General features: G+C 35.7%; 1 protein-coding gene across 21 annotated transcripts in view; it reads right to left on the bottom strand.

Moving 5' to 3' along the window:
* Nucleotides 1-23,810, bottom strand: part of SNTG1 (syntrophin gamma 1) — an 886,897-nt gene that overhangs the window by 213,801 nt on the left and 649,286 nt on the right. The window contains exons 13-14 of one of the 21 annotated variants that reach the window (NR_135797.2): nucleotides 13,873-14,010; nucleotides 7,168-7,224 (exon numbers count right to left, since the gene is read on the bottom strand). The exons of 17 other annotated variants lie outside the window; for them this stretch is intronic. Coding sequence is in view for 3 of the 4 variants with exons in the window: in XM_017013581.2 (XP_016869070.1) it covers nucleotides 17,855-17,995 (141 nt within the window). In the remaining variant the exon portion in view is untranslated. Of the gene's footprint in view, nucleotides 1-7,167; nucleotides 7,225-13,872; nucleotides 14,011-17,414; nucleotides 17,996-23,810 lie in introns of those variants that run through there. 3 more of the 21 variants (XM_017013582.2, XM_047421898.1, XM_017013581.2) reach the window with 3 other exon arrangements.

The following is a 23,810-nucleotide window of genomic DNA, read 5'->3' as shown; positions in this document are numbered from 1 at the left end:
CTTGGGAATTCTGTATTTTTCTATCTTTTAATTCCCAAAATATGTGATTTTAGTTCTATGAATGACCCAAAACATAGAACAGAAAGTTAAAAATGACACTTTTGTGTAGTATTTTCTTAAAAGGACATTCATTAAAATATGCTATTCAAAACCAAGCCTAGGTCATCGTATTTGCTTAAATGGGAACCTCCAGACTTATTCAATAAAAAAAATATGTTATGCTTGAATTCCTGTTTTTTTCTAGAATTGTATTGGAATATTTTCTGCTAAAAGAAAAATTGCAGTACCTCAAATAAATCAGACAGGATGATACTTTCAGATGCATAGTACATGTACACACACACACACCCACACACCCATACACACTAAAAATGTGACATTGTGCTTAATTATATCTTTATTTCCTCTATACTATCAGTATAGAGGATACTTATCAGTATAGAGATACTTATCAGTATCTAATAACTGCTTATTTTAATACTTTTCTTTTGTAATTTATTTGCTCCCCTCACTAGAATGTAAGTTCTAGGTCACAGACTTCTGTCTGTCTCAGTCTATACTGCACCGACTTGCACCTAGAGAAGGCCTAGGTCTTAGTAGGTGCTCAATTAATATTTGTTGAATGAATGAAGACAGAGAATAGCTCAGTTACAACAAAGTTAAACTCATGAATTTGAAGTTTAACTTTGCCTTGAAAGCTAATCACTTAAAAAGCAAAACAAACAAGCAATCAAACAAACAAAATCAAACAACCAAAAACCCTCTAAGTTCTTGAGTCTTAATGTCTATAGTGTGAAACCTGCAGATACTGGATGATTGTTTTTGTCAGATCCAGACAAAATAGGGCTGGGAAGACATGAAGGAGAGGGAACTCATGATTACATGTCTAAGAAAAGAACTGTTTCCAAGGACTCTCTAAAACTCCACAAGAAATTTCTTAACCTCCTTCAAGCATCTTATCCTTTGCATGGCTTGCAAATTTTGCACATATACTTATGTTTGTATGACAAGGTCTATCACTAGACATTCTTTAGGACTGCAATATTTTCAATAGGATGCTCTGCCAAGAACACTTGCCGAGTAAGGACATCTCCAACAACGAACTGAGCTTGAGTCTGTGAAACCAAAGAACTTTGTTTCTAAGCAACTTATGTAATCCCTTCCCATTGTGCCAATAAAAGCTTCCATTTCCCCTTCCCTCACTTGATACACTGTGGCATCCCAAATATTAATCCTCATATTTCATTCCTGAGTAAATGCAACATATTTGGAGATACTAATCTCTAATTTTTTTTAGATTGACAATAGTAATTCTGATGGCTTCAAAATGTAGAATTCATACCATGCATACAAGATTTGAAAGGAATACTTATAATTTAAAAGGAAGTTCTTATATTACAATAATAATTGTTTCTGGGCTGAAATGAAACATGGAGAGAGAGAGGCATCTGAAGTATCAGTAGAAAATATAGAGTAAATATGATGAAATTTAAATTGATTTCTGTTCAAAAAAGAGAGATGTAGTCTTATGAAACATGACCATAGAATTTATTGATTCTTAAATATAACCTTCTCAGTAGGATTTCCTAGCATCTTGTCACTCCTTATCACTGGTGACTTCTGCAAGTGATCTACCTCCTTTGTTGCAGAGCAGATTTTGGAATTTAGTCATCCCATTTATCATTTAACACAAAAGAACATCATAAATGCAAGTGCACATTCTTATAATTTTATGTGCTCTTGATAAGATGGATGATTAAGAATAATATTTTAGGTTTGACCTTCTATTATATATGCACCTATTGTTTCTACAGGAGCATTTTAAAAATGTAAATTTGAAATGGCCATTTTTTACTTAAGTAATTACACACTGTCCATTACTTCAGAAACAAAAGAACAAAATCACATATAATTCAAATCCTTCCACATCCTGGCCCATGTGTCTCTCAGGAGTCACTTCTGTATCAGGTCCTTGTATGTATGAACTCTAGGATGTAGGCCCTGTCCTGCCACAGCACAGTGTCTTTGCTCATGTTCACTCTCCCCAGGCCCACTCTATTAGTCCATTCTCACTCTATTGATAAAGACATACCCAAGACTGGGTAATTTATAATGAAAAGTGGTTTCATTGACTCACAGTTAAGCATGCCTGGGGAGGCCTCAAGAAACACAGTCATGATGGAAGGGGAAGCAAAGACGTCCTTCATCATATTGTGGCAGCAAGGAGAAGTGCCAAGCAAAAGAGGGAAAATCCCCTTATAAAACCATCAGATCTCCTGAGAACTCACTATAATGAGAACAGCATGAGGGTAACCATCCCCATGATTCAGTTACCTCCCACTGGGTTCCTCCCATGACACATTGGGCTAATGGGAACTATAGTTCAAGATGAGATTTGGGTGGGGACACAACCCAACCATATCATTCTGCCCCTGGCCCCTCCCAAAATCATGTCTTCCCATTTCAAAACACCATCATGCCCTTCCAACAGTCCCCCAAAGCCTTAACTCATTCCAGCATTAACTCAAAAGTCCAAGTCCAAAGCTTCATCTGAGACAAGGCAAGTCTCTTCCATCTATAACCCTGTGAAATCAAAAGCAAGTCAGTTACTTCCTAGATACAATAGGGGTACAGGAATTGAGTAAATATACCTGTTCTAAATGGGACAAATTTGTCAAAACAAAGGGGCTAAAGGCCCCATGCAAGTCCAAAATCCAATAGGGCAGTTGTTAAACTTTAAGGTTCGAAAATGATCTCCTTTGACTCAATGTCTCACATCCAAGTCATGCTGATGCAAGAGGTGGGCTCCCATGGCCTTGGGCAGGTCCACCCCTGTGGCTTTGCAGGGTATAGCTCCCCTCCTGGCTGCTATCACAGGCTGACATTGAGTGTCTGTTCCTTTTCCCAGCACACGGTGCAAGCCGTCAGTAGTTCTACCATTATGGGGTGTGGAGAATGGTGGCCTTCTCACAGCTCCACTGGGCAGTGCCTACCCCACATTTCTCTTCTTCACTGCCCTAGCAGAGATTCTCCATGAGGGCTCCACTGCTGCAGCAAACTTCTGCCTGGACACCCAGACATGTCCATACATCTTCTGAAATCTAGGCAGAAGTTCCCAAACCTCAATTTTTGTTTTCTGCGCACTCAAAGGGCAAACACCACATGGAAGCTGCCAAAGCTTGGGACTTGCATCATCTGAAGCAACGGCCTGAACTGCGCATTGGCCCCCTTTTTTTTATTATTATACTTTATGCATTGGCCTTTTTAGCCATAGCCAGAGCAGCTGCGATGCAGGGCACCATGCCCCAGGGATGCACATAGCAGGGGGGCCTGGACCAGGCCCAGAAAACCATTTTTCCTTCCTCTGTGGCTGTGATGGGAGGGGCTGCCATGAAGGTCTCTGACACGCCCTGAAGACATTTTCCCCATTGTCTTGGTAATTAACTTTCAGCTCTTCACTACTTATGCTGATGTCTGCAGCCTACTTGAATGTCACCCTAGAAAACGGGGTTCTCTTTTCCATTGCATTGTCAGACTGGAAAATTTCCAAACATTTATGCTCTGATTCCTCTTTGCTGCCTAGAAATTTCTTCCATCAGATACCCTAAATCATCTCTCTCAAGTTCAAAGTTCCACAGATCTCTGGGGAGGGGCAAAATGCCACCAGTCTCATTGAATAGCAAGAGTGACCTTTACTCCAGTTCCCAACAAGTTCCTCATCTCCATCTGAGACCATCTCAGCCTGGACTTCATTGTCCATATCACTATCAGCATTTTGGTCAAAGCCATTCAACAAGTGTCAAGGAAGTTCCTAACTTCCCCACAACTTTCTGTCTTCTGAGCCCTCTAAGTCTCTAGGAAGTTCCAAACTTTCCTACATTCTCCTGTTTTCTTCTGAGTCCTTTAAACTGTTCCAAGCTCTAACTGGTACCCAGCTCCCAAGTCACTTCCACATTTTCAGGTATCCTTATAGCCACACCCCACTCCTGAACCAATTTACTATATTAGTCCATCTTCACACTGCTAATTAAGACATACCCAAGTCTGGGTAATTTATAAAGAAGACAGATTTAATTGACTCACAGTTCAGCACGGCTAGGGAGGCCCTCAGGAAACACAATTATGGCAAAAGGGGAAGCAAACACATCCTTCTTTACGTGGCGGCAGCAAGGAGAAATGCCAAGCAAATGGGGAAAAGCCCCTTATAAAGTCATCAGATCTTGTGAGAACTCACTCGCTATAATGAGAACAGCATGAGGGTAACTACCCCCATTATTCGATTACCTCCACAATCAGGTCCCTCCCACAACATGTGGGCATTATAGGAACTATAATTCAAGATGAGATATGGGTGGGCACACGGCCAAATCATATCACCCACCAAAGCTCAGTTCATCCCTGTTTTATTTTTCTCTCCCTCTTTTGTTCCTCCCACCCTCCCTTGCTCTTGCTGTCTCTCTCTCTCTCTTTCTCTCTCATCCTCTCACTTTTTCACCTAGCAAGAATCTATTTTATTTTCATGTTTAGCTGAGGTACACAGAGATTAAATATCCTTTAATTCACCCTGAAATTGGCACCAGCTAATTCAGTCTGACACAAAGGCTATGCCCATGTACCACATAATCAAAACCATATCTGCCATGAAAGCTTTTCTGAGGACTCAGAAAGAATGTCTGGTGACTTTCTCTTTGGGTCTACATTTCCATCTGCTATTCCTCTTGCTGCATGTGTTTACTAAATGCAGTGTAATCCTTAAGAAGAGACATGTGTCTTATTCATTTTAACTTCCCTCAGTCTAGCAGAATGTCCATATGACCCTAACAAGTGTTATCAGAAAAAATTAGCTATCTTTTGAGGTAAACTGTATGCCACTTCTATCTTTTCAAATGCTTTGAGGATTCTAGCTCTGAATAAACATAATGCCATTTTCTCTTTCTGTGCTCTTGGTGCTTTGCATCTTATCACTGAGGACTGGACTTTGAAAATCTATAACTGGTCAGGCTTCTTAATTCTTCTTTTACTAGAAGCTGATTTAACCTCTTTCTTTGTATAATCTCAACATCTTGTAGTTTGTTAAAGAAACCTCATTTTCTACTTTGTCAATGATTTTAACATAAGTAAAAGAACAGCAGTGCAACAATAATGGAAATCATCAAGTTAGTATATTTTCCTGACTAATGAGGGAAGTTAACACTAAGATTTGACACATTCTTGCTTTGCCAACATATAACACAGTGTTCCATATTTATTATGTTTTCTAAAAATGTATTTTATGTCAAATCTCAATGTATAAACATTTAAAGAAGTACTACACCAATCCTTCTTCAACTTTTCCAAAAAATAAAGAAGGAGCATTTCCTAACTCATTTTACGAGGCCATTATCACTCTGATACCAAAGCCACACAAAGACACCAGAAGAAAAAAAAAAACAAAAAAAAAAAACTATGGACCAATATTATTTATGAACCTAATGAAAATATCCTCAACAAAATACTAAGAAAGTGAATTCAACAGCACATTCAACAGTGCAACAGCACATTAAAAAGATTATATACAATTATCAAGTGGGTTTTATTCCTGGAATGGAAGATTGGTTCAACACATGAAAATCAATCGAAGTAGTTCACCACATTAACAAAATGAAAGCAAAAAGCAGATAATCATCTCAACTGATGCAGAAAAAGCAATTGACAAAATTCTACACTCTTTTATGATAAACACACTCCACATACTAGAAATAGAAGGAAACTACCTTAACGGAACATAAGCCATACATAAAAACCGCCAGGGAATATCATACTCAATGGTAGAAGACTGAAACCTTTTCCTATGAAAAGGATAATATGTTCCTATGTGATCAGGAACAAGACAAAGATGCCTGCTTTTCACCATATTATTTGACACAGTACTTCAAGTCCTAGCAGCTGTAATTAAGCAAGAAAAAAGAAATATAAGAAAGAATTGAAAAGGAAAAAATAATGTTATCATTGTTCATAGATGATATGATCTCATATGTGGAAAATTCTAAAGCTTTATCCAAAAGTAATTGTTATAATTAATAAATTAGAAAACTATCTGATTACAGATTCAACATGCAAAATAAATTGCATTTCTATGTAATAACAATGAACAATCTGAAAAGAAAACTTAAAATTTTTATTTATAATAGTATCAAAAGTATCAAAGAGAATAAAATACTTAGGAATTAAGTAAGAGGTGAAACGCTTATAAAATGTAATCTACAAAACATTTCTTAAAAAATTAAACAAGACAAATAAATGGAAAAAATTCCATCTTCATAGATGTGAAGATTTAATATTATTAAGACAGCAACACTACTCAAGGGAACTCACAGATTCCCTCAAACCTTATCAAAATTTCAATGAGGTGTTTTACAGAAATAAAAAATCTATCCAAAAATTTGCGTGGAATCTCAAGGGCCCTCCCGAATTGCCAAAACAATCTTAACAAAGAACAATACCAGAGAACACGTATTTCTTGATTTCAAAACTTCCTACTACAGTAAACTATGTGCTATAGGTCTAAAAACGGGCACATAGATACATAGAATAGAATAGAGTCCAGAAATAAGCCCTCATATATGTTCAAATAATTTTTAACACAGATGCCAAAACCACTCAATGGAAAAAAGACAGTCGTATTAACTAATGATTCTAAGAAAACTGGAAATTCATATGCAAAATCATGAAGCTGGACCTTCCATTACATTATATTCAAAAATTAACCCAAAGACCTGAGCATAAGACATAAAGCTGTAAAACATTTTTGGGATGCATGCAATTGGCATCCTGGAAGAAAAGCAGAGAGAGAATGGAATAGTGTGGAAGAGCTGAAAATTTTCCAAATGGATAAAGCCATTAATCTACAAATTTAAGAAAATCTACTAATTTTGAGCCCACCATAGTAAAACTGCTGAAAAATAAGGAAAGAAAAAACAATTGAATACAGACAGAGGGAAAGAGGAACTATTTCAAGGAAACAAAATGAGGCTGAAAGAAGTTTCCTGGAAGAAGATATGAATGAACATTTCTGTGATCTCTTCATTTAGAAATATTTTTTAGAAATTTCCAGAAATAGTCTATGAGATTCACATTTGAAAGACCAGTACATGTTTGAAGAATATGGAAAAGGAAATACAGACTCACATTTGGTTTGTCTCCTTGTGGCTCACACTGTTCCACTGCCGACCCTGCACACTAGCCCTACAGAGGACACACAAGCAATCAACGATACAGAGGTAGCAGCAGTGCCCTCACGGAGAGTCATCCAAACCTTAAACCCCAAACAGCAAGAAATTTGGCACCCAACATGCAGATCAGAGAAGTAAGGGCCTTGGGCTTGCTACTTTGGTATGGTGGAGTCTGGAAAACAGAAAAGGAGCTGAGGTGTGTTTGGGCATGCTATGCAGTCACTCAAGATGCCACCCCACAAATGTAGAGGAAAATGATAGCTCTGTCAATTGTTATTCTCACACTGTTATTACCTTCATCAGGAGGCATATTTTAGAAGTAGGTGTGTTTGGCCTTGCAATGGACTAATCAAATTCAAAGAAGGTCATTTCAGTAGAAAAGTTAATGTGAACACTACATAAAAATAAATATTCAAAAAGTGGGCTATTCATAAAGCCCCCATAAACGAACTTGAAAACAAGAAAACATTACAAAATGATTAGTAGCTCCACTATATAATAAACTCTTCTTAAAAATACATATGCTCTCCTTCATAGCTGTAGGACTGAACAGACTAGGTCTGACATAATTGCACCACCACACTCAGTACCTAGTGCACAGAGTGCCAAACAAACATGACCAAACAGAAAAGGACATCTATGTAAGAGAAAATTCATAAAAATGTGAAAATGTGAAATGCCACTTTTGCATATGATCAAACATCAATAGATTAAAACCATTAATGTGATCTTAACCAATAAGGGCCAAATATTGAACAGCATGTTAATATACTTTCACACATTGTTGTCACATTACATAAAGTCAAGCTAGGTTCATGAGAATAAAAAAATTCATGTTCTTATGCAAATAAATAGTCAGCAATGTTTTCATTGACTGGTACACCAAAAAAATCCATAGGCTTTCATTGGATTAATAAAATATTTTAAATGACTTACATGTCAAATATTAAACCATTCGTAAGTTATTATATAATATACACAAAAAAACCAAACATCTATTAATCCATTAAAAGTGGGTAATCTCAGAATATGATTACTGTTCTGAGGAAGTGTTTATGATCACATATGAACAAAAGATAATACCATAAACATAGGAAGCTGGCAATTTTGTTTTATATGTGTAAAGAAAAATACACATTTTCAAGTATATGTAATATATACTCATAAAACATTAATATTACACTCATGAGCCATTATTGTTGCTACATGTTTCACTTTAATGTTTTTCTGCACTTTACTGTATTTCTAAAGTAAAAATATAATTAAGGCACACGTTTAAAAAATATCTTTTACCAACCATAAGCAAACGGAATTCCATGTTTTATTTCCAAAAGATAAAAATATCAGGTAAATATAGATGTACTCTTTCAGAAACTGGAGTTTGAATAGTATTTTTAAGTGAAAGAATATACTAAATACCCAAGATGAAAATAATCTTCATATTCTGTTTGAAATGGAATGGTAAAAAATAGTATTTTAACCTATTTATGCCTGAGGCTGCAGTCTTTTTTAGTTTTTGCAATCAGACCTTGGTAATGACCTTGAGCAGTAGAATATAAATAACTCCCACATGCTTAGCGTTCCAATAATGGAACCCTAGGCATAAATGGGTTGAGATGTTACAGGTAATTACTGAAAATAGTATTTGCTGAATATCATATATATTTTTCCAGACATTAAAAAATGTTAGAATTAAGATCATCCTATTTTATTAAGAACTTTCACCAGTTATTCTTGTTATTTGATTCTATCACGTTATTTTTTTTCCTACAGGAATCACTAGCATTAATGAAACCTTACATTTAAAAACAGTTATTAAAGAAATAAGACTATTATATATAAGAAGTATACTTATAAGTTATTAAATTTTCAGTTAAATTAAATAGAAACTTTTTCATTAGACATTTTTTACTGGAACTATGATTTTAAAATTTGAGTATTCTGTTTCTAAAACATGGGGACAAATATAAAGTTATGGAATGCATATATTACAAATCAAACAATATGCTTCATACTCAAGAACTGAAATGATAATGAGAATTATCCTGTTTATCAAATTACTAAAATTTATAAACTATATTGTTGTCAAAATTAAATATCTGCTTAGATATTACGGACAACATTCAAAGGAATAATATTCACTTTCAGGAAATCCTTGGGAAAATGACAAATATATGCACATTTTTTTCTTAGAAACTCATTCCACTGAATGTTAATAATGGTAACCTCTTAAAGTGGTTAAAGTAAGTTCAATTATTATAGATCCATTAAATAGAGCCAGTTTTACAACTGATTTTAATAAAGATCTGCTTGGAATTAATTTACTTAAAAAATTTAAGAAACAGAAGTGCACATTTGTTTTAAATATTGTCCTGTTTCTTAAATCCCTGAATTTTGTTTATTAACTTTTAGCAGCATTGATTTAGCAGTAATTTGTAATGTACTTTTAGTAGTAATAATATTCTCTTTGATGACCTCTTTAGACCAGCAGGGAAATTCAATCAAATTCAAATCTTCCTTTAAAAATATTCCTCTTTTCTGAATTTAAATGCCTTTAAGGATAGAATTTTTTAAAATTACATTGCCAGTTTAATCAAAGATCTTATATGTTTAAATTGTATCTTAACGATACCAATTTTTTAATTTCCAGCTTTCATATACAAGACACCTTGATGACTGGGGAGTTGTGCTCTCCAGATGGACAATGCAGGATGCTGTTTAACAGGGTATATTTTCTGGTGAAAATCAATTTTGAAGATTTAACCAAAAAGCTAGAACCATTTTGAAGATTTAACCAAAAAGCTAGAAACATTCCTCCAATTTTTTAGAGATGTGTGGCCAATGCTATTTAACAAATGTGTTAGAACCTAGAGAGATCATTATTCTATAGAAATAAATTCACTTGACAAATAACGACATTAGTGTAAGGATACAAGATGACCATATATCACCTCTAACTGTTGAGAAAACTCTACTTTTACCATGAGAAGAGAAGAATTTAAACATGACTTTTGCTTCTAGAGCTCACATTTCAGCTCATATTTTTCCTTTTATGCCCTTTTACTTTGGTTATTTCTCATGACTATGTATAAAAATTAAAATCAGGCCATGTTGCTTTTCAAAACATATCCATTAACAGTAAATCAATGCCTTAGGATGATTAGATATTATATCTGAGTGAGCTTTCTTAAACTTTATTTTCCTATAACAAGAATTATCCAATTTTATCTGTCTCAGTCATCATTTTAAGATTAGCATATGCACACACATACAACTGTGAATCAGAAGCCTGAAAGTAGGTCGCAATCACTTACAAATATCTATGGGTATATGTTCAGTGTCGAATCATTCATTTTTGCATGAATTCACCAAACATCAGAAATGACTCTCTCTCTCTCTCTCTCTATATATATATATATATAAAATAGGTGATAGAAACAAACATACAATAAATAATCCTAAGTCTCTGAGACGAGTATTATAACAAGATGCTATAGGAGTATGAGAAGGAGGGGAATCTTCTCATAGGGGCAGGTGTACCTACCTAGCACAGTCACCGTGGGCTTCAGGAAATAATAAAAATTGTTTTTTGTTTATCAGTATTACTTTTAGTCACAGGTGAAGAAAATAGTTTTACCATTGGTATATTATTAGCCAGTATTCTATAAATGAAATGCACAGTGTTCATACATAAGAAGCTCAAAGCACCCTCAAGTGACGTGTGTGACCACCTCTGCTCCCTCATCAGGGGTCCTTGGCTTTGAAGCTCCATTTTAGAATGAGGGGTTTCTAAAACATGTTCAGTGGAGCAACTGCCCACTCAAAGTGATTTCTTTTGTAATTTTCTAATGGCCTTTCATCTACTGCTTAACACAATTCACTTACACCTCTTTACTCCTATGCCTGGTAGGAGGTGAGAGCGAATCACCTAGGGAATATTCAGTACTCTGCAATGAACATTTAGAGGTGAAAGTTGTTTCCTTAGTCCTGCTTCTGTAGAAATAGAGTGTGAGGCAAAGTCTCACATGTTAACAATTGATTAGGGAAGATATTTGAGCCTAAGGAACTTAGGGTCATAGGTGAAGGCCAGCAAGGCAGGCCAGCAGAAAACAAATATGAAGTGGGAGTTCTCAGATCCCTGAACTGGCCTCAGCTTCTCAGTGAAGCACTGCTTCATTAAGTGTGCTTTGGCTCTGGGGCCTGTGCCATCACTGCACTCCCAAATCCAAACAGCTCGTCTATTGAGCAAGAGTGAGCAAATTTATCAGCAGGCTGTTTCTTTGCCCTGGTCTTTCACTGGACAAAGTATGTCACCTGGGGATCAATTACCCCACATTCCTGCTGTGTTCTCTTGAGCCCGGGACAGGAGGCAGGTCCCAGGGAGTTAGCTTCGGTCTCTTTGGGTGTGATGAAGGCCATGCTAACTCCAGCCCTAGGCACTGAAGGAGATAGCAGCGTTGGTATGCTATGGGGTGGCCCCTGTGCAGGGTCATAGTTCCACGGCTGCTGAAACGCTAATAGCTGGAGCTGCCCTGGCCAGAAAGACAAGCAAAGCAAAGAGGGGCATGGGGGCAGGCAGGCAGGGCTCATTGGACAAAAGGGTGGTGGAGGCAGAGGGAAGGAAACTATGTTCAGGAAAACTGCTCCATTTTATTATGACAGATGCTGGCGAAGGGGTAGAGAAAGGGGAACGCTTGTACGCTGGTGGTGGGAGTGTAAATTCGTGCAACTACTATGGAAAACTGTGTGGAGGTTCTTCAAAAATTAAAAATAAGAGCCAGAGGTGTGGTGGCTCACACCTGTAATCCCAGCACTTTGGGAGGCTGAGGCAGGCAGATCACAAGGTCAATAGATTGAGACCATCCTGACCAACGTGGTGAAACCCTGTCTCTACTAAAAAATACAAAAATTCTACAGGCACGGTGGTGCATGCCCACAGTCCCAGCTATTTGGGAGCCTGAGGCAGAAGAATCGCTTGAACCTGGGAGGGAGAGGCTGCAGTGATCCGAGATCATGCCACAGCACTCCAGTCTGGTGACAGAGCGAGACTCCACCTAAATAATAATAATAATAATAATAATAATAATAACAACAATAATAATAATAATAATAATAAAAAATAAGGCTGGACGTGGTGGCTCACCCTGTAATCCCAGCACGCTGGGAGGCCAAGGTGGGTGGATCACCTGAGGTTAGGAGTTCAAGACCAGCCTAACCAATATGGTGAAACCCCGTCTCTGCCAAAAATAGAAAAATTAGCTGGGTGTGGTGGTGTGCGCCTGTAGTCCCAGCTACTCCGCAGGCTGAGACAGGAGAATCGCTTGAACCCTGGAGGCGGAGGTTGCATTGAACCGAGATCGCACCACTGTAATCCAGCCTGGGTGACAGAGCGAGACTCCATCTATAAAATAAAATAAAATAAAATAAAATAAAATAAAATAAAATAAAATAAAAATAGAACCACCATATGAACCAGCAATCTCATTAGTGAGTATATATCCGAAGGAGAGGAAATCAACGCAGATGTTTTGGGTTGTGGTAAATAAAAATCAGCTGATAATTTCCAATATTAAAACTTGTTAAAAAAATTAAGTTCCGGTGAGTACTGTTCCAAGCTACAAAGCAGGCTATTTTACTGAAATATTTTACTTTCCTGACATACTTCTTGACATAAACTCTAATTATGTAAAATGTAAAAATATGATTGTTAAGAATCTGAATGCAGTGCAGTGCCCAAACTTGCCCTTGCTTTTATTCTGACTTAAATGACTCTCTCTGCAATTATTTATTTCACTCACACTAACCCATTTTTGGTTGGCACCTCTTTGTCTGACATTCACATTTTGGTGGATAAAGAATAACAATGCAGACAAGCAGACAGCAACATACTAATGCTAAAAAGTAGACTTTAGGACTCAGAAATGTCAGCGGCTATAAAAAAGGAAGAAAATGTCAGCTTCAGTGACACCCATGCCTGTCAGCACCACACTCCACAACCTCTAATCACAGTCTTTAGTTCATTTTTGGTAAATCTTCCTTCTGTTAGTCTTTATTCCATCATGATTTTCAATTCACCTACAAGCTTTGTTGAGCCTTTTCAATGTGGCAGACAGAATAGAAGGTTTTTTTTTTGTTTTTTGTTTGTTTTTTGTTTTTTGATTTTTTTTTTGCTTTTCAAAACCAACGCTTTTATGGAAAAAAAATGATTTTTTAACTTGCAAGTGGTAGTACAGCAGATCTCTATGGATTAAATATATAGCTTCCAAACAGTTTTTTTTTTTCACTTCTGCACGTAAGTGTGTAAAATATAGAAAGATGGGTGAAATGCCTGTAGAATACACTCTAATAACTGATTAAATTATTTGTGTGTGTGTCTGTGAATCCTGAAGGGCTGTGTTCATCCCACAGAGGGACTGGCTATCCGTGCTTTTTCTTTAGAATTAATACATCTTCCGTATTAAGCAATGTGGTAAATACTACTGACTGACTGATCCAGAAGCTATTCACAGCCACCACTTCTGTGTCATATGGCACTACAGAGGATAGGAAAGTTAAGTACTGGCCAAACTTGTCTTACCCGACCCCATAAAGAATTGTCATGGATTTTGTTAAACAGAATGAGAAGAACTACCAAAAGGGTTTCTGGGAAATTTTCTCTTACCTGATACAAGGGGACAGGTGTGGCTGATTCTACTCATCCCTCTTCCTTTTCTTTCCTTCCTGAAACTGAAGTGATGTTTGTAGCTGTTGTCGCCCTCCATGACCAGGACTTGAAGGCCATAAGATAAAAGCCAATACTCTACAGATGATAGGAAATAAATGATGTGGATAGATAGAAGATGGAGCGATGAATGGAATTGCTTTGAACTAAAAGGCTTCCTCACAGCAAAGAAAACAATTAACAAAGTAAAGAAACAACCTACAGATGTATTTGCAAACTATGCATCTGTCAAGGAGTTAATACCCAGAATATTCAAGGAACATAACTCAACTAAAAAAATCAGATTAAAAAATGGGCAAAAGACCTAAATAGATATTTCTTAAGAGAAGAAATATGAATGGCCAAGAGGTATATGAAGAAATTGTCACCATTACTAATCATCAGAGAAATATAAAATAAAACCACAATGAGATATAATCTCACCCCAGTTAAAACAGCTTTTATCAAAAAGACAAGCAATAACAGAGGCTGGCGAGGATGTGGAGAAAGGAGAACCCTCACACACCAGTGGTGGGAGTGTACAGCCACTGTGAAAAACTGTAGGGAGGTTCCTCAAAAAGTAAAAACAGAACTACCATATGACTCAACAATTCCATTACTGAGTATATATCCAAAGGACAATCAGTTTATCCAAGAGATATCTGTACTCCCATGTTTATTGCAGCACTATTCACAATGGTAGATAGATAGATGGATAAATAGATAGCACACACACACACACACACACACACAAACATGGACAATGGAATACTATTCAGCCATTAAAAATAATGAAATCCTGACATTTGCTGCAACATGGATGAACCTGAAGGACAATGTATTAAGTGAAATAAGCCAGGCATAGAAAGACAGACATTGCATGAGCTCATTCATATGTAGAATCTAAAACAGTTGTTTTCACAGAAGTAGAGAGTAGAATATTGGTTATTGGTTACCAGAACCTGGGGAAGGGAAAGAGAAGGGGAGAATTGGGAGAGGTTGACCAATGAATACAGAGATACAGGAAGGAAGAATGATATGGTGCTCTATTATATAGTAGGGTGACTAGAGCAAATAACAATGTAAAGTGTATCTCAATGTAGCTAAAATAGAAGATTTTGAATGTTATTAAAACAAAGAAATGACAAATGTTTAATGTAATGACTGTAAAAAATGCCTAGATTTGATCATTATACAATCTTTACATGAATTGGCACATCACAATGTACCCCATTAAAATGTACAATTGTAATGAGTTCATTATCCATTTAAAACATTAATTTAAAAAATAAAGGAAATTGGTTCTTGTACATATTATTAATTTGACCATCACACTGAAATATAGTTAGCAAATGCTACCATCTAGAATTCTTGTCAGGTGGGGAAAAACAACAGTTTACTCCACCGATACATAGAGTTTCTCTTGTTTTAAGGCTAGAATAATATCTCATATACATATGTGTATGTATATGTATATTTCTATATAGATACATATACATTTATACACATACACATATGTTTCAAAGTAACAAAATATATCTAAATAAACAACACATATAGGGTATATAGGGAAGAATCAGAATCAAAGAGGAGATTCCTTTACATCTGTAAGTAACCTTAATAGAAATGTCATGTAAAATTATCTCTATTTACAGATTGGTATTAATTTCAGTATTCCAGTAGGAAAGCATAATTGGGAAGGATTGATTCATGAAGTGCTAGCTGAAAGGGAGGTTAGCATTTTACCTGCCTCCTCTCTGTCTCTTTTACAGAGGAGGAAACTGCAGTACAGATGTATCACTTGGCAAAGATCATAGCTGCTTAAGATGCCACAATTTTATTTCAACTAATTTTGTCCAGTTTCATCAACATTCTATTACCCAAATAATGATTCTTGAGAATCCCAAAGACTATTATTCCATCAACAAAGATGTGTAAACTCTTATACAATAAACAAATAGAGGCTGCCATTTATTGATGGTTTATGGATTACATCATTTAATTTAGAATTCAACTGGAAAGAAGAAAAATTGCAAATGTTTCAGCATCATATAAGGGACAGAATGTTTAAAGCACTTTTTAGATTGAATGCTCACAGTAACTTAAAGTTACCTAGTTTCTGTTTCTAAGGAGCAAATTGAAGTCAAGTACACATAACTAGTAACTAGAGAAGCTAGGATTTTGTACCCAAGTTCCCAAGTTTGATAACATCAAACTCATGCATTTTCCACAACACAAAAAGACTTCTGAAAAACAAAACAAAACAAAACAGTAGACTTTGCTCCCTTGATTGATTAAACAATGGAGAGTTTTGAGGTTATACTTCCTCCTCTTTTCAGATCCAGCATATCCAAATACCTTTTAATACTGGTTGCTTGTAATGCTTCCCAACTCAGTCATACAGACCTCTGTCTTTTATGCTGCCTAAATTTTGATAAATATTTGTTTTTCCTACTATATTTCAAGTGTGTGTGTGTGTGATAGTTTTATTACTTGGTCAATTAATATCACAAACGTTGTAGACTTATAAAAGACCAGACTTCTAGAGACTTGTGGAAATGGTTTCTGTGATTTTCCAAAATTTGACCCATTTGTCATGGTTAGTATTCTGCTGATAACATCATCATTTTCTTCCAGCCTCAGGATTCAGTGACCTGGTTTTAATCTCAAAGTTTCCGGTTGTTTTGGGACTATATGCAGATTTGCCCTATCTGTAAAGATTCTGGGTCAATGATTTTGAGGAGTGTATTTGTTGGAGTATTAAACCTTTCAACAGTAATGACATTGATTAAATAGCCTTTTCTTTTATTAAGCAAGGATACCAGACAAAACAAAATTTTTCTATGATTACCATCATTTGATAAGAGGATGGACATTTAACTCCATAAATGTAAGAAGACAATATATAAAATTAAAGACCTATCCTTAAAAAATAAATTGAGTCTTATGAAAAATTCACTTATATTAAACATTTTCATTTTACCCTAGACAAGTGAAAATTTCCGTAAAAAAATAATATCCATTGCTATGATTGTATCTCTTTACTTTTTTTCCTGAATAGGTACCTTTTATTACCTCTGCGTAAAATATATTTTCCCACCAATTCTCTTATTTTATTCTTACTCATTGTTTATATATAAACTTTAGGAAATTGTCCTCATACTCCTGGATAGCTACAGAATCAACCTCTCATAGCACTTATTCATATTATCTATGAATGTTGTAATTTCACATTTGCTTATGTGCTAATTTGATTAGTGTCTCCCTTCCCAACTAGACTCTTGGCTCCACGAAGGCAGAGACTAACCATTTTTTGCTCAATATTACAGTCCTGCTCCCTAACAACTTGACACAGTAAGCTCTCACAAAATGTTTGCTGAATTAATACATGGATGAATACATCAGGAAGCTGATAAGCATCTCACAAGTTTGTTAATACCTGGGGTTAACTTAATTATACATATATATGAATATATTTAAGTAAACTTTTTAATATTAGGACAGTTTTGGATTTACAAAAAACATACAGTTATAGAACAGAGTTGCCATATACCACACAGCTAGTCTCCCCTATTATTGGCATTTTACATTTCATAACAATGACACATTTATTATGATTAATAATACAATGATATGAATACACTAATATTAACGAAAGTCCATACTCTTTTCAGATTTCCACAGGTTTTACCAAACATTTTTTTTTTGCTGTTCCTGGATCCCAACTGGACTGATGCACATTTATTCAACAGGTCCCCTTAGGCATCTCTAGGTTATAACAGTTTAATTTTTCCTTATTTTTGAAGACATTGTCAGTCTTGAGGAGTGCTGGTCAGGTATTTTGTAGAATGTTCATCAGTTGGGATTGTCCACTATCTTTCCATGATGAGACTAGGATTATGGATTTGGGGACGAAAATCACAGAGGCAAAGGGCCATTTTTGTTACATCATATCAAGGGTACATATTATTAATTTGACATCACAGTTGACGTTAACCACCCAGCTGCAGTAGCGTTTGTTAGGTTTGTCCACTCCAAAGTTGTATATTTTCCACTTTCCCTTCTTAACGCTGGAAGAAGATTGCTATACACATTAATAAACAAAATTAAGAAAGAAAGGACATTTTTAATAATAGCATATTTTTATTGGAGATTGTAACATCCACAATATTGCATTTGAAGTCCTCATTGTATGGCATTATTTTCAAAGATATAAGGCAAAAACTAGCCTTCTGTTAGTGTTTAATGAATTATTAATCTTTAAAAAAACTTATAGACTATGATATTTAACACTTCTGTTAAACATCTTAAATATCATTGTAAGCTAAGAAAGAAGGCAACAACACTAAAATCTCAGTCTTTGAAAAGTAAAAAACTGAGAAGCTAGATTTTCATGTAAATACTTGAGTATGGGAGGGAGGGGCTTTCATCCCTTTGAGTATTTAGTAATTCGTGCAGCCAGCACAAGAATTGGGCTTTCTGGCCCATACATGAGTTTAAATGCAAAATAACTATTCAAACTTTGAATTTTATTTACTATTGCCACCATGAGGTGCAATATCAGGTAATGTGAAAATATGATCCTTCATTGATCATTATAATAAAATGTAAGGTTGTTGTTTTCTATATATGTTTATATATTATTGTACAAAATCAGTAAATATACATCAAACTATAATGAATCTCAAAAATATTTGAGCTCATGACAATTACAATAATACAAAGTTAATTATATTATCACTCTACTTATTCTAAAGGGCTTCTACATCCAGAGACAGCGACCAGGACAAGGAAAGTCTTGGATGACATGTCAGAGAGAAACAGAAAGGAGTCAGTGATATTTCTATTTTAAAAAAAAAAAACGGACTGCAACATGTGACACTTGTATTTGTATGCTGGAGGAAGAGAAAGTTGAATTATTGTGTGTCTTTGAAAAAGAAAGTTGGATTATTGTGTGTCTTTCTCAAATCAGAACTAGTACAAATGGATGAATGTAATGAGAGAGATTTTTATTCAGTAAAAGTATTTCCTAATATTAAGTTGTCAAAAAATTTAATTGCTATATTGTGAAGCAATGGCTTTCTATGTCATTGAAAGATTTCCAGGAGAGAGCTGTCTGAAAGAATCTTTTCAGGAGAGATTTCTAATTGGGCAGGAAATGGGGCTAGATAATCTCCTGATACCTTCCAGTAAGAAGGTTTTAGGAAACCACAAGTCAATGTATTCTTAGGAGACTCCAAGTTGTTGTACATGGTACCTGTTCAAAACTATTTGTCTTGATTTGCAACTAGATATGTGCTTTAAAGTCCACTTATTTCCAATTGCTCTGCTACACTGTATTTTTCTGTACTTGCCACTTAGAAAGTGACTCAGTGAGTTATAGAAACAAAATTTATTTAAAAAAAATTTGTCTATCAGACATTTCATTATGAGAGACAGAGATTTATGATGGACAAAAGGAACTACACCCAGAAACACAGGGAACATCTACCATGGACAGCACCTCTGTTTCCTCATGACCACAGCAACTTTTCCCTACTCTAAAGCACAGTGGCCCCACGGAACATGTAAGAATTTAAGGAGTAGTACATGTGAATCTCTTATTGCAGTGCTTACTGTAGCTAAATGTGTTTTTCTCTCTTCTGTCTTCATTTTTCTTTACATTCTCAGCAATGTTTCCTTCAAACAACTGTTGATTGATAAGGGACTCATTCATTCACTTCTTATTTGCTCCATATGGGCTGTGTTAAGTACTGGAAATACAAGGATACAGGCAGTAGTTGCTGTGTGATCTGAGCCAGCCAGCACTAGGCCCCATCTTCACAGACACTCTCAGGGATCAGTTGCCGTCTTTCTCAGTTGTGACTGCCTGACAATTCAACAGTCTTGTCTGCTCTTCAGGGACAGCAGTTCCTTATTCTCGTCTTGTGTGGCTTCTCCCTCCTGGTTTCCTGTGATATTTGAAAGCTTCTAGCCATGTTTATCCAGGCACTGAGAGCCAACACTGCTTCCCAGTTCCAAAGACAGTCCTTGCTCAGACTGCGTGAATGCAACGATTCTGATCATTGTTTCTCTGATGATGTCAGTTGGTTATAAATTAAGTATTTAGGAACTCTAGTGGTATTACTATAGGCTGATTTGCACTGGGACTAATTAATAACGTAAATGTTAGGTTGTTTTCTAACATATGCAAGTACATTTTATGGTTATTCTGAAAAAGCTACATATGACATGAGTTAAAGGCATGATTTTCAAATTAAACTGTGAACTTTACATTAAGTGAAAACATGCAACTGGATAAAGATATGTTGTATTAGTTTCTATTGTTGTCATATCAAATTCCTACAAACTAAGGTGGTTTAAGAAAAACCCACACATTTATATATTATCATACTGTTCTGTAGGTCATAAGTCCTAAATGAATCAAACAGGGGAGAAATTGAGGTGTTGGCAGGGCTGTGCTGCTTTCTGGAGGCTCTAGAGTAGAAGTGCAGCCTTTCACTGCTATTGGACTACTGCTTTCTTTGAATTGCATTCCCTTCTCCATCTTCAGAGCCAGAAATACTGGGTTCAGTTCCTCTTTCACTGCTGTCTCTTGTTCTCTCACTTTGACTTCTTACACTTGTAGAGAATCACATTAGACCCACTTGGATAATCTAGGCTAATTTCCCCATTTTAAGGCCAGCTGATTAGCAATGTTAATGGTATCTGTAACCTTAATTCTCTATTGCCATATGACATGGAATTGTCACAGGTTCTGGGAGTTAGGACATAGACATCTTTGCGTGGGCATTATTCTTCCTACCACAGATGGGTAGAGTTAAATCTTATAAGATGAAACCAAGATAAAATGTCAGTTTTGAATTATTGACAAAATAACATTTTTCAAATTGCTTTCCAGTTACACATTGTAACTTATAAATCAGAAAATTTTAGGAGTCTTTAAAATGTATGAACAGTTATCTTTTTTGGGTAAGGACATATATAAGATGGATTTTGGATGGCGAGAATCTTCACAGGACTATTTTGACCCTAAGGAATGACAGTGAGGAAAGCTGAAAGGTTATAGAAGACAGATAATTAAAGTGAGTTCTAATGTCCAGCTCAGGCTGGGGAGACATTCTAGACACCTAGTACTGAATGAATAGTTCAATGGGAAATGTCGCTTGTGTATGATGGAATAATGTGATAATGACTAGCCCTATAGGTTAAAATAAAGGCTGAGCATGAATTTTATTTTCTTCTTCTGATTCCGTAATCTATTATTTTACTTTCAGTTTCCTCATAGCCAGGCCTTAACCATTTTGTGTCTCTAGTTCTGAGATTTCATGATTTTTACTTTCTCATCAGTCTATATTTTCAATTCCATCTAGATATATTTAAGCCCATGTGACATGATGTTTGCATTTGTTTCCTAGTGCATTAAACTTTTTTATTATTATGAAGTGACCATATCTATATTTAGTAATATATTTGCTGTGAAGTTTGCTTTGCCTAGTATTAACAAAGCTACAAACCTTTCTTTTATGGTTTGCACTGTATTTTTTCCTTTTTTCTGGTTTTTAAAATACATATTTATTTAATTTGTAAATTAACTGTTTTAGTCTGTTTTCACACTGCTATAAAGAAATACCTGACACTCAGTAATTTATGAAGGAAAGAGGTTTAATTGACTCATAGTTCCTCATGGCTGGGGAGGCCTCAGGAAACTTACAATCATGGTGGAAGCAAAGGAGAAGCAAGCACCTTCTTCACAAGGCAGCAGGAGAGAGACAGCAAAGGGGGAACTGCCACACACTTTTAAAACCATCAGCTTTCATGAGAACTCACTCACTATCATGAGAACAGCATGGGGGAAACCACTCCCATGATCCAATCACCTCACACCAGGTCCCTCCTCTGACACATGGGGATTACAATTTGTGATGAGATTTGGATGCGGACACAGAACAAACCAAATCATTCAGTTACATGGAAGCATTACTTAAAATGTCATAATGTCAGTCTAAAAGCTTCAAATCCATTTAGTTATTAAACACTTAGAGAAATATTCTAATTATGTCAATTTATTTATTTATTTGTTTTCCTTCTTTATTTTATCAAATTTTATTTTAAGTTCTGGGGAACATGTGTAGGATGTGCAGGTTTGTTACACAGATAAACATGTGCCATGGTGGTTTGCTGCCCAGATAAACCCCTCATACAGGTATTGAGCCCCACACCCATTAGCTGTTCTTCTTGATGCTCTCCCTCCCCTCCAACAACAACCAGCCACAGTGTGTGTTGTTCCCCCGATGTGTCCACGTGTTCTTGTCATTCAGTTCCTGCTTATAAGTAAGAAGACGTGGCGTCTGATTTTCTGTTCCTGTGTTAGTTTGCAGAGGATAACAGCTTCCAGCTCCATCCATGTCCCTGCAAAGGACATGATCTTGTTCCTTTCTATGACTGTATAGCATTCCATGGTGTATATGTACCAAGTTTTCTTTATTCAATCTACTATTTATGGACATTTGGGTTGATTCAATGTCCTTGCTATCGTGAATAGTGCTGCAATGAGCATACACGTGCATGTGTCTTTATAATAGAATGATTTATATTCCTTTGGGTTCATACCCAGTAATGGGATTGCTGGGTCAAATGGTATTTCTGTTTCTAGATGTTTAAGGAATCACCACACTCTCTTCCACAATGGTTGAACTAATTTATATTCCCACAACAGTATAGATGCATTCCTTTTTCTGTGCAACCTTGCCAGCATTTGTTGCTTCTTGACTTTTTAATAATCACCATTCTGACTGGCCTGAGATGGTACCTCACTGTGGTTTTGATTTGCATTTCTCTAATGACCAGTGATGTTGAGGGTTTTTTTAATATGTTTTTTGGCTGCATGAGTGTCTTATTTTGTGAAGTGTCTGTTCATGTCCTTTGCCCACTTTTTAACGTATTTTTGTTCTTGTAAATGTGTTTAAGTTACTTGTAGACGCCAGATATTAGGCCTTTGTCAGATGGATAGATGGCAAAAAATTTCTCCCATTCTGTAGGTTGTCTGTTCACTCTGAGGATAATTTCTTTTGCTGTGCAGAAACTCTTTAGTTTAATTAGATTGCATTTGTCAATTTTTGCTTTTGTTGCAATTGCTTCTTGCGTTTTTGTCATGAAATCTTTGTCCATGGCTATGTACTGAAAGGTATTGCCTAGATTTTCTTTTAGGGTTTTTTAGTTTGGGTTTTACGTTTAGGTCTTTAATCCATCTTGAGTTAATTTTTGTATAAAGGGTAAGGAAGTGGTCCAGTTTCAATTTCCAGAAATGGTTAGCCAGTTCTCCCAGAACCATTTATTAAATAGGGAATCCTTTCCAAGTTCTTATTTTTTCAGGTGCAAGGTATTTTTCTAAATTTTGACTTTCAATCTTCCAATATCTTTAGAATTCCTCTTGTAAAAAGTGTATCTTATACTTGGATATAAATCATCATCTTACTGTATGCTTACTATTTGTTCAACCTGCTCTAGTTTGCTTTCTTTTTTTATTTTTTTATGAACTTCTTTTAGTAGGTATTAGCATTATTTTTTCACTTATTCCTTTGTTAATTTAGAAGATACACATTCTGGCTACTTAGTTAAGGCTTTCTCTAGGAAACAAACAATCCATTTTGACATAACAAAATTTAATACTAATTACATTTGCTTCCTTTGGATATTTTTGTTATTGCTTTTGCAATATATTTTAATTTTGTTTATTTATCTAAACACTACAAGAAATTATTCCCATTTTAATACAAACAATGTTCATCTAGATTCATCTATGTATTCATTTTCTCCTGTACTATTTACTCCTTCTGACATCTCCAAGCCTCTATCTGGCATGATTTTTCTTTGCCTGAAATAGCACCCCTTACTTT

Source organism: Homo sapiens, chromosome 8 (genome assembly GCF_000001405.40).
Source record: "Homo sapiens chromosome 8, GRCh38.p14 Primary Assembly".
NCBI lineage: Eukaryota > Metazoa > Chordata > Mammalia > Primates > Hominidae > Homo > Homo sapiens.
Note: the sequence above shows the minus strand (reverse complement) of the source record. Positions and strands in the feature narration are given on the sequence as shown.